The sequence below is a fragment of the Homo sapiens genome, chromosome 6, assembly GCF_000001405.40.
Source record: "Homo sapiens chromosome 6, GRCh38.p14 Primary Assembly".
Classification (NCBI taxonomy): domain Eukaryota; kingdom Metazoa; phylum Chordata; class Mammalia; order Primates; family Hominidae; genus Homo; species Homo sapiens.
In genome coordinates this window covers 19,714,648-19,726,899 of record NC_000006.12, presented here as the reverse complement: position 1 = coordinate 19,726,899, position 12,252 = coordinate 19,714,648, and the positions used below count along the sequence as shown (strand labels likewise).

The 12,252-nt window shown below is 39.1% G+C and overlaps 3 annotated features.

Annotated features, from left to right (window-relative positions):
* Nucleotides 4,221–7,909: an enhancer, noted in NCBI's record as "VISTA enhancer hs1533". NCBI's record gives its function as "enhancer in: midbrain (mesencephalon)[5/7] | forebrain[6/7] | eye[5/7]" and the evidence as "EXISTENCE:transgenic organism evidence [ECO:0001131][PMID:17130149]".
* Nucleotides 6,582–7,781: an enhancer, noted in NCBI's record as "P300/CBP strongly-dependent group 1 enhancer chr6:19719350-19720549 (GRCh37/hg19 assembly coordinates)". NCBI's record gives its function as "activates an origin of replication core promoter dependent on BRD2, BRD4, P300/CBP, MED14 and CDK7 cofactors, with strong dependence on P300/CBP, by STARR-seq in HCT116 cells {active_cell/tissue: HCT116}" and the evidence as "EXISTENCE:reporter gene assay evidence [ECO:0000049][PMID:35650434]".
* Nucleotides 11,268–11,793: an enhancer, noted in NCBI's record as "OCT4-NANOG hESC enhancer chr6:19715338-19715863 (GRCh37/hg19 assembly coordinates)". NCBI's record gives its function as "activates a minimal SCP1, AML or CMV promoter by ChIP-STARR-seq in naive H9 embryonic stem cells {active_cell/tissue: H9 hESC(naive)}" and the evidence as "EXISTENCE:reporter gene assay evidence [ECO:0000049][PMID:30033119]".

Sequence of the window (12,252 nt, the reverse complement as noted above, 5' to 3'; positions counted from 1 at the left end):
TGGACTTTCACCACTTCCCTAAAAGTTCAAGGCTTCTTCCTGCATGAAGGCCTCTTCCTGCATCAAGGCCTTTGCAAATGTTGAAACAGTCACCAGCAACAGCACTGGCCTAGACGTGGTAGGTCTGCCACAAGGATGAATAATACAGCTGGTTCTGCAGATGTGAGGTGTGGCATACTGAATTTTGTGCTATTGGGGCCACTGAAGCGGGACACTAAAACATGCTGTCAAAGAGAGCACAGAGCAATGGGATGGCATAGCATCAAGGAGGGAATCTTAGAAGTAGCCAGGCAGTAAGAGGAAGAAGAGGAGGCATCAAAGGAGACAGAGAAGTGGTCATCGAAATAGGAGTATCAGCTTGGAGCAGCATCTTAGGAGACAAAGAGTTGTAAGAAAGCATATACTACCAGTGCTGGAAGGATACTGTGCTAACTAAGCACAGTGCCTGCTACTAGAAAGCACTTCATAGGCCCCGTTTCCCTTCATTTTCTCACTTATCCTTTTATTCATTCAACAAATATGCCTGTGTAGCTACTGAGTACTAGGTACTAATAAGATGGAAGTGAACAAGATAGATATTGTTCCTATTCTATCATAAAGCTTACAATCTGGAGGAAAGGGAGTGGGGTGAGAAGAGACAATGAAAAAATTAAAATTCACATATAAAATAATATTGGGTGGCAAAAAATGCTATGAAGAGAAACAAGAGCATAGAAAGATCAGATGGTGTTACATTGGGTAGGGTAGCCAGGAGAAACCTCTCTGATAGGGGGGATTTATTTATTTATTTACTTATTTATGTTTTTATGGTTTTGTTATTTTTTAAAATATATTTCCATAAGTTATTGGGGTACAGGTGGAATTTGGTTAGAGTTCTTCAGTGGTGATTTGTGAGATTTTGGTGCACCCATCAACTGAGCAGTGTACATTGCACCCACCATATGCGTAGTCTTTTATCTCTCCCCCCTCCCACTTTTCCCCCCAAGTCCCCGAAGTCCACTGTGTCATTCGTATGCCTCTGTGTCCTCATAGCTTAGCTCTCACATACCAGTGAGAACATACGATGTTTGGTTTTCCATTCCTGGGTTACCTCACTTATAATAATAGTCTCCAATCTCATCCAGGTCACTGCAAATGCTGTTAATTCAATCCTTTTTATGGCTGTGTAGTATTGCATTGTATATATACACCACAGTTTCTTTATCCACTCATTGACTGATGGGCATTTGGGTTGGTTCCAGGATTTTGCAATTGTGACTTGTGCTGCTATAAACATGCATGTGCAAGTGTCTTCCTCAAATAATGACTTATTTCCCTCTGGGTAGATACCCAGTAATGGGATTGCTGGATCAAATGGTAGTTCTATTTTTAGTTCTTTAAGGAACCTCCACACTGTTTTCCATAGTGGCTGTACTAGTTTACATTCCCACCAGCAGTGTAGAAGTGCTCCTGATAGGGGGATTTAAATGGAGAACAGAATGAAGTGATGCATGTGATGTTAGGAGTTGTGATGATGGATTGATGATGATGATGATTATGATCACAAGGATGAAGACTTGAGGAGGATTGTGTCAAGGGGCAAAGAAAAAGAGACAAGAGTATTATAAGAAGGAGAAAAAGACCAACAGTTTGAATGCAATAGAGGTGTCAAAATAAGATAAGGCTGGAAAAAATGTTTATTGGATTGTTTGATTTGACAATTAAGGAGGTTGGTGACCCTAAAGAGAGCAGTTGCAGTGAGTTGCTTGGAAGGAAAATCAGCTGCAGAAGATTAAGAGCATAATAGAATATGGATGCAGGGGAGATGTCTTAGAAAAGTTTAGCAACGGGCTGGGTGCACTGGCTCACGCCTGTAATCCCAGCACTTTGGGAGGCCGAGGTGGATGGATCATTTGAGCTCAGGAGATTGAGACCAGCCTGAGCAAAAATGCAAAACTCCATCTCTCCAACAAAAAAACAAAAACAAAAAACCAAAAAGCAAAAAAAGGCCGGGCGTGGTGGCTCACACCTGTAATCCCAGCACTTTGGGAGGCCGAGGCGGGTGGATCATGAGGTCAGGAGATCAAGACCATCCTGGCTAACATGGTGAAACCCCGTCTCTACTAAAAGTACAAAAAAATTAGCCGGGCGTGGTGGCAGGCACCTGTAGTCCCAGCTACTTGGGAGGCTGAGGCAGGAGAATGGCGTGAACCTGGGAAGCGGAGCTGGCAGTGAGCCGAGATCGCGCCACTGCACTCCAGCCTGGGTGACAGAGCGAGACTCCGTCTCAAAAAAAAAAAGCAAAAAAAGGAGAAAAGTTTAGCAATGAAATAAAGGATGTGTAGGGAGTAGCTAGATGCAAAAATTATATACAACTAGTTTTTAAAAACATTTGTTTTCCCCTCTAGATGAGGGCTTCTCCACTTTGAAACAATTGATATTTTGAGCTGGATGATTCTTTGTTGTGGGGACAGGCAATGGGGCTACCCTGTGCATTGTAGGAAATTCTGCAACAGCTCTGACCTCTACCCACCAGATGCCAGTATCACCCCTCCACCCAATTTGACAACAAAAATGATTCCAGACATTGTTAAATGTCCCCTAGAGGTAGAATTGTCCCCAGGTTAGAACAACTGCTCTAGACTGAGGATATCTATGTATGTTTGAAACGATGAAGAAGGGCCCATGGAGAAGAAGAGAAAAAAGATATTGAAAAGGGAGAATCTTAAATGTGAAGATCTACAGTCAGTAAGTTCAACATGTTTCCCTGCAAGTGACAAAAAGCAGAATTATAGGGACTGTTAATAAATGCTTTGTTTTATGAGTTGAGGAACAAATATTGTCATTCTAAATTAAGAAGGGGCATTCGAGCTGAAAATTAAAAAAATATATTTGTTGTAACAATTTGGAAACCAGCATGCAAACTCTCAAGGAAATGCAGTATTATTAAGAAAGGGAAACCATTAGCTATTTTTTATATATTCATAGAATTAAGACAAATAAGCAAATAGTTCAAGTTGGAGAGCAGATCATGTGGTCCACAAGTTGTCCCTTATTCTGGGAAGTCCTTAATTTGGGATTGAAGACAGATGTTTCTAATGTGACTCATGTATTTTTACCACTTTCTCATGGGCATGGACTGAGATTCTTCCTCTGTCTCCTGGTGATGTCAGCATCATGTTTACATAGAATGGGCCTGCCTAAGTCAAAGCTAGCCCTAAGTCACATGTCACATGGTAAAAATACATAAGCAGGCTTCTCTTTAGATAGATTATAGTTGTGACCTCTAGGAGAATAGACTTATTTTCTGGGTTGAGTATATAAAGTTTAGAAATTGGGGAATATTCCAGAATAACAGCATTTCAAAGTTGGGAGGAATCATTATGATTACTTCACAATCATAAGTTCTCAGGTTGTCAAGTATGGCACATTAAAAATAAAAAATTATGTCTCCTGTAAGAGAACGAATGTGAACATGGTACTTGGCAATTAAGTTCTTTTCTTCCTAAATTAAAATCAAATGTTAATCTGCATCTGAAAAGGCAACTGGCACTTATTGTGAACCTACTATATACGGGAAATTATTGGAGTTATTTTATACATATAATGTTTTTGAAGCTTAATGACAACTCGGTGAGCCAAGTATTATTCCCATGCAAGGGAGGAAAACTAGCAATCACAAAGTCTACTGCAAAACCCGCCAATATAGAAACAGCTGTTTTATGTCCACAGTTTATCTTTGGACATTCTCTCCCCAGTGATTTTTACTAGTCTCTGATGAGATCTCGGCTTCTTTTTAACAGTGAACACACAAACTGAACTACTTTGGGACTGATAATCAGGTGGTTTATTTTGTTCAGCCAGTCCCTATCCAGTACGGTTAATTCTACAGATCTGACTTTTGCCGCTCACTTTATGCCTGTCAGAGCACCCTTCTACATCTCCTGGCACACCTTTCCAGCAACACACTATGGCAATGATCCATTGAGAGTGAAACGAGGTGTCACAAAGAAGCAATTTTCTTTGACATTTGAAATAAGGACTTGAGTTTGCCCATTGGCCTTCATGTCTATCTGTCATGATATTTTAATTTGGTAAAGTTTTTGTTTGGTAAAGTTTAATTTGGTAAAGTTTTTGTAAGCAAGTTCATTGGGTGAAAGATTTGTTGGAATTTGTTAAATCCAAAAGAATAAAAAACCTTTAGGCCATCATTAATTTCTTATAAGTGACCGATTTCCATTACAAGGACCCTTTCATTGGATGAGTTAGTTCTGGTCTAATGTATACATTTTCTTAACTTTCATAGTAAGCATTACTATGTGCTATAGCTATATGTTTACATTTTTATCTATATCTGCTGCTCCAAATATTTTCTTGGTTTTCTTCCTCGCTTGCTTTTCACTTGGCTCTTAGGAGCCCAAACAACCCACAATAACTTGCTGAGTATATTTAGCCCAGAAAAAAAGAATGTCTGGGATAAGCTTCACTTCTCATAAAAAAGTAAAAAGTGACAGACCAAATTGATTTTAAAAATATGTATCTGTGGATGTAAGTGTCAGGACATTCAGTGTAAAAGCATACCATGAGTCTCTAATCCAACATCTCACTCAATGGAGCAAGGGATCTATCCCCAATGGGCTTGCAGATGAAGTAATTTCCAAGGCATAGTTGGGTGGGCAAGTGGAGAAAGAAGAATGGCCGCCGTGGCTGTGAGGTGGTCAGTGAGAGAGACAAATCCCTTCCCCCACTCCCATGGCCGTGTGTGCCACTCTTCCTCTATACAAAGACAATTTGCTTTTCATGTAGTAATGAAGAACAATGTTTAACAGACAAAGGAGCTTCTAGTTTATTATTGTGCTGTCTTTGACTAGAGCTAGATGCTGGGAAAAATGGTAATTCACAGTGTGAATGCTTCTTTTCCAGCCGTATGGGTTATGGCTGAGCATGTACATTGTATATTGCAGATGGTACAATAGTGAACACTGTGAGAACGAGGAAAGAATGAATTACGACCTTTTTTTTCTTGCTAGCCAAGAAACCAGGAATTTCTTCACAGCGATTTTTATTTATATCTGTGTGTGTGTGCGTGTGTGTGTGTGTGTGTGTGTGTCTGTGTGTGCGTGCGCAATCGTGCATGGGTTATTCCTTAGCAATATGCGCTGCTGGATTCTGATAAGTGATTTTAGGTTTTAGAATTTTTAAGTTAATGTATAAAATCTACTATGATGCTCTTAGAACACCTGTGTTCTCCTGCCTTTTTTTTCCCCTAGTTGACTGATACAAGGCACAGGTGGTGCCTAATTAACTTATTTCATGCAAATAAAAACATATTGCATGATTTCTTCTCCTTAACTATATAATCACTGAAACACGATGGTGCTGATTAAAGCAACAAACTTTGGGAGGGGAGAATTTAGCATCTTCTGTCAGTTCTCCTATGCTGAAGGGATTTATGATCCATGTAAATCTGATTTAAATGGAAAAGTGATGGGAACGTGTATTTCCTATGCAAGAAAACGATTTTCCTCTATTTAGTCTTTTCTCTATGTCATAGGACACTCAGTGATACAGAATTGAAAAAGAGAAAGACCAGATTTCCCATGGAGATGGAGAAATTGGAAGCCCAGATGAGGAACCATCTCATATAAGCAAGCTTATGTGTTTTGATTTCGTGTTCAGATATTCTTATCAATGATTTCCAGAAAGTGACATTGATTTGCTTTGGAAACAATGATGGAAAAACAGTGAGTGTGTACCGGAATGCTTTTAGAGTTCTAAAATCATACTGGAAAATGTCCGAGCATTCCAACACAGCTATAAACAGTACCATGCTGTATTTATGGGGGGTGGCAAGTCTGTTTTTAAAAGTCTTTGCGATATTTTTTCTATGTTTTTAATTTATTGAATTAAAGCCAGATTTATTCAATTAAGATAATACACTTCAAAGTTAACTGCCATTTGCTGTTCATTTAGGCAAGCTATTGTACAGTTATGTAAATTTCATGAACAGAGACACTACTTGAGTGTCTTAATTACAAGCAGAAAGTGTCATTTAAATATGAATTAAGTGAATAGTTGCCTGTATTTCCTGTTTCTGTATTTTCTGTCTTCTGCCCAATGATCCATACTGTGTTAGAAGATTTTTCTTTTTCCTGTGAAAGAAAAACACCTCCACTATGAAATATTAAAAAAAAAAAAGTCGGGAAACATGTAAAAACGCCATTGTTATTGCACTGATTAGTACTCAGAGCCATTTCTGAATAACAGGGTACCAGGTTTTTTCAGTTGGCCACTGATAGTCATTCTCATATTGTTACTGAGATCTAAAAATTATTCCAGCTTATGCTGGGGGAAATAATTTGCTACATGTGTCATTTGCTCCAATTCATTATATATGTGGGTTCATTTTTTTTTTAAATCCTCTTTTAAAAGTACTAATTTATAACACGTCCAAACATTGTCTTCCTTACTCCAATGCTGGGCTGTGCATATTTTTATCATTCTTTTATCTTTGTCAAAAGCAACATTTATTTTCAATTTAGAACTGTCACAACCATATTTGTGTTTAGCAAATGTGACCCATGACCTGATACTTTGCTGATTTCTGTGAAACAATTCCCCATGCATCTTGGACTTACTGACCAACATTGTTTTTGTTTGTTTCTGTGTTTTGGATGATTCTTATGTATACATAAAAATGACCTAGAGACAAATCTGGCATTAATCATGAAGAAAGGCAAGGATTCACAATTAGTTAATGAAAACCACACCTCTGTTCTGTGGAGTCAGTTCCCAGCTCCTGTCTCCAGCCTGGGATATAGATGCAGCCTGGGAAGATATTCCCAGCACCCCCCAAGGTAGATCCTGCGTGCTCCCCCAGGAGTGAGAAGTTCACTATTCACTCAGTGCTTGCATCATCTTTTCCAACATGTTCCCACTGATACATTAAAGGAATTAATTGCTCATAATGATCTCACCATCTGTTAACAGAGGTTCATACCTACAGGCTGGTGGCATGCGGTGGTTCTATTCAGGGATCAATAGGCAATGCCGGGCGAACGCTTTCCCACATTGCCTGCCTTTGCACGCTGAAAGGGGGAGGAGGGCTCGGTGCCGGCCATCTGCTCCTTGTCTTTCTGTGCGAGACCTTGATGCGGTCCAGCACAGCTCTGATCTGACTCCAGTCCGATTGGAATGTGGCTGATCTGAGAGCCTCTCAAAGCTGTGAAAGTGAGTCAAAAGGAGATGCCCATTGTCCAGCATGGCTGAAAGAAAATGATCACTTTAAAATTCATAACTCCCAGGTGCCTGCCATCTATTCATGGGAAAAACCCTCTGAACTTCTCTTCATTAAAGAGAGGGGAGTCTTGCTAAAAAGAGAGAAAAGGAAGTAGTTTGTGGGAATGTGCAGGGGATTTTCAAGCTAAACAAATGAGGAATTTGGAATTTTTCACTTGTATTAAAAGAACTGTGTAGGAAGGAGAAGCCCTTATTTAAAAAAAAAAAAGGGTGAGAGGAGGCTTTCCTTGGACACTATAGCAACTAATAAAGAACATTTTAATTTTTCTCCAGAGGAATTCAAAGATCACCCTGTCTTTTTACTTTTATTACCTGGAGCTGTGGAAACTTTCCCATTTGATTCTGAATAACATTCTTAGTCAATTTTCACTTCTGTTCCACAGGGGTGCAGTTTGGGTGGGAATTTGGGGAAGAATGAGAGTCTGGGAAATTCCTAAATATGGTGTTGGACATCTATGGACACAGTGAAACTCAACTCCATCAGCTGTTGCATAGGAGAAGTTTATGCAGCAGGGCTACTTGCACCCAGTGGAAGCATCTGTCAGGAGAATTCTTTCTGTGCCTTGAAAACCAAAAGAGCCATTAGGAAATAGTAAAGAAATAATAAGAGAATCTCTGTGCCTTGGCAACTCAAGATTCAGAGCTGAGTCTCACAGCTGTGGGAATCACAGGCCGGGTGGATCTTGGCTATTGGTCATTGTAGACAATCAATGTTGCATCAGAGTCACACAGGAGCTCAAAGAGGATTTATGGATTAATGGATTGAGAGCCAAACAAAAGCAGAAATAGAGAGACCTATGTTCTGTCTCTTGAAAATCTTTTAACATACAGATGATGATACTTAAGGCCCAAAGAGGTTAAGTGACACATGCTCAAAGTCACCCAGAGTTTGTTACAGAACCTGGGTTATAACCTCCACTTACAAGCAATTTAATTTCTAACACTTCATGCTGCCTCTGTTAATGGTGTGAGGTTTAATTTAAAATTATTTTTCCCCAGCTTTCCATCATTAAAACATAGATCAGTATCACCAACCTAAAGATTTAATAGTTCCCTTTAAAATAAATTCTGAGCTTTAAAGAAGATTATAAACACTAATATTCATTACTAACACATACAAAATAGAAAATCCATCAAGTCAGGTACTAATATCTGACAGGAAATATTGAAATAAATGATAGAATCTATTGGCAAAACAGGATGGCAAAGTTTAGCTCTCTTGGACAACAATGGCCAAATAAAACAAGAAAGAAGAAAAGTAAAAATTGGCGATGATCAATGTAAAGCCAGAAAAGCACTCATTTGATAAGCAGGGAACTAAAGGAGTAGGTGATGAGAAAGAGATAGAAAAATCTAGAAATAATCCAAACTTCTGGAAATGAGAGAAGATATGTCTGACAGAATCAGTGTTACTGGTCCTTCTTAACGGATAAGAAGTTACCACCTGAACCATATTTTTTCTAGAAATTTCCATTCAGGCTGTTGAGAGTCTTTGTTTTGCATCGCTTTTCCTCTGTGAGAGCCTATCTCTAATTTTCAGTGCAGTGGACAGGAACGTAAAATTCTTTGGACAGAATTGTGACATATTATATTTATAGTGGGTTTAGGTAGAAAAAAAGAAATCCAGGTCAATTGTAGATTTGTTTCCTAATCCAATGTGATTTCTTTTTCTTTTTTTTCTTTATTTTTTGAGACAGAGTCTTGCTCTGTCGCCCAGGCTGGAGTGCAGTGGTGCGATCTCGGCTCACTGCAAGCTCCGCCTCCCGGGTTCACGCCATTCTCCTGCCTCAGCCTCCCAAGTAGCTGGGACTACAGGCGCCCGCCACCACACCTGGCCAATTTTTTGTATTTTTTTATTAGAGACGGGGTTTCACCGTGTTAGCCAGGATGGTCTCGATCTCCTGACCTCGTGATCCACCCGCCTCGGCCTCCCAAAGTGCTGGGATTACAGGCGTGAGCCACCGCGCCCGGCCCCAATGTGATTTTTAAGTTATCAGATTGTTTGACTCGTTGTAGTGTCAAACCCTATGGGTTATGTATTAATAGTTAGAATTGCTGAAATACAGATAGGGAAAAAACTCAACAACCCTGAAGAGTACAAGTAGGCTGAGAATGGGGATGAAGATTGACAGCAGCCACAAGGAAATGACTAATATTTTCTCAAATATTTTGGCTAGCTTCAGACTGGAGCTTGAGGGTAAACCCAGGGATTTATTCCTGAAGAAGTAAAAAATATAGGTAAGCCAAAAGAGGAAACGAATTAAAAGTGACCCATAATCCCATCCCAAGGATAACTGCTGCTAAATTTTCAGAGTATATATTAAAAAACAACAAAATCAGATCATAATATTCATATTGTCTTGCATAATATTTAAGTTAAAATAGGAAATTGCAAATATTTGAACATTTTCGACCCGCCAAACGATGACAACTTTCAAGTGGGTCCATTTAAAAGCTTTTTCCTCAGTGATGGATTGTGAACCTCTTTCCTTTTCAATAAATACGCATCCAAATTTATTTTTTAGGGACTCGTATATGGTTTAGGAACTATTTCAGTAAGTATTGAAGGTTCTGGTCACCTCAGCTCTTTTCACGATTGGATTTAGACCTATATATAGATGTCACAGTAGAATTAAAACTATTTGAACCAGCACCGTGGCTCACACCTGTTACCCCAGAACTTTAGGAGGCTTGAGGTCAGGTGGTTGAGACCAGCCTGGCCAACATGGTGAAACCCCATCTCTCGCTACTAACAATACAAAAATTAGCCGGGTGTGGTGGGAGGTGCTTGTAATCCAAGCTACTTGGGAGGCTAAGGCAGGAGAACTGCTGGAACCTGGGAGGCGGAGGTTGCAGTGAGTAGAGATTGTGCCACTGCACTCCAGCCTGGGCTACAGAGCGAAATTCTGTCTCAAAAATAAATAAATAAATAAATAAACAAAACAAAATAAAATGAAAACAATTTTTTGCTCTGGGAATAGAGCTTATTAAACAATTACTTAAAAATTTACTTTTTTCTCTTGCAATGAAATGATAGCCTCTTCCTACTGATCAATACTCCCTCCTCATAGTAAAAAGCTGAGACTGTCTTCTCAATTATTAGACAAGCAGGAAAATAGTTAAAGAGAATGTATCTTAAGAATGAGATATACAAAAGTACCTAGCTCAAACAATGACAATAATACAAGCAATATACTTAAAAACAACAACAACAAATCCCCAAAGCGACAAACAAAGAAACAAAAAAATAACCAATGAAGCACAGTACAGAATTCAAAGGCAGTTTGTTTCTTTAGGGGATTTCGGTGAAAAATGCAGTTGGTGGGACTACAGGGAACAGTTGATAACTGGCTGTGTTATGACTTGTGGGTCTCAAAAGTTTTGACTTCAAGACTCACACCCTTAGGGTGTTCGGACTCCCAGAGCAATATGTAATCGTGAATGTGTTTATATTAAATGTCATCTGACACATAATCCTGTCCTTGTTTTTCAGGGTTCCCCCCCCCCACTGCTATTAGGGCTGGAGTTGCCCATCTTTTCTATTGATGGATGCGTGTTTTTTTTTTCCTTTCAAGGATTCTATAGGGAAATTGCCTCTTCTTTTAATTACTCAGGTTATGAAAATACAATTTTCTTTTAAACTTTCCATTGCCATTGTAATCACTTTACATCTGCACAATCATCTGACTCAATTTTGTTCCCAATTCTTGTGTTCAAAATTAATAAATAGGAAAGATTTTAAAAGCCCACAGCAAAAGCAAACACACTTTAATGCTACCCCCATCCTTCAATTCCCACAAACACAGGGCTTGTAGGGTTAGCTGATCTCTGGGTTTTATTATTTTCCCCTCTCCTTTCTTTCTTTTTTAAAAAACTGTGCATGGAAAGCAAAAGTTTATTGGGGGCAAGGGTTCAATGACTATTTTTCCCTCGAACAAATTAATCTTGTATAACCTGCATTATAAAGGCTATTTTTAAAAAGAGGAGGAAATAATCATTGGGGCCTTATTTGGAACTCTTGTGGGTTTGAGCTCACATTTGCACCAGCCAGAGATTTTCAATTAGCAGTGCCTTAGAAAACAGGGACCCCTGCCTTTGTCAGTGTCCTGTGGAAGAAGAAGAGCAAATAGATTGGAAATGGTCTTATGGCTCAAGCTCCTGGGAAAATGTAACAGGTGTTACAGCTCAGCTGGGTGTGAGATTTATGAAAAAAGCCCACTCAGACTTTGCCCATAGAATTCTGCTTTCTAGCCAGGGCTTCAAGTAGGAAGAAACTAATGACTTCATTACCATCTCAATTCTGGGAAATGCCTGGTCCAGACCTGACTCATTAAAGGAAAGGTATAGCACTCTGGGTGACCTTACAAGATCAAAATGTTATTTAGAGCAATTCCATTAGTCAGGGCCATAAACCTGAAAGAACACACCCTTTAGGAATAACACTTTAGCCATAAAATAAGAAAACAAAAACAAAAACAAAAACAAAGCTCATACAAAAAAGGAGGGAGAAAGAAGGAAAAAAAAACATATTCTGTAATCATCATGCTTCACTATTTCCTCCACTCTTTGAAAAGCCTCCACTTCCAGCACTTCTTCCCCTCACTCTGTGTTGTGACACATTAAATAGCTCTTGTCGCTGTCCCATTTCCAATGGATTATAATGGGGGGGCGGGGTGAGGTGAAAGCCAGGAATGATGTCAAATTTCCAAACAGCACGAGATGAAATAAATCTCTTCTGTACTAATAGTACTTAATAGTACTAACAGTAGTAGTACTTAACTTGTATCAATTAACAGTAAATTTTTTATTAGATAAGTGGTTTTTAAATTAATCTGAAATGGGAAAAACATAGCACATGAGAGTCTGTCTCCTGTCCTATTTATCCTTACAAACAATCCTTCGGAGCCATTGTATTGCGTTTTATTTCACATTGCTACTCCACTGAAAGAGAACTTGGCCAGTCAAATGCAATTT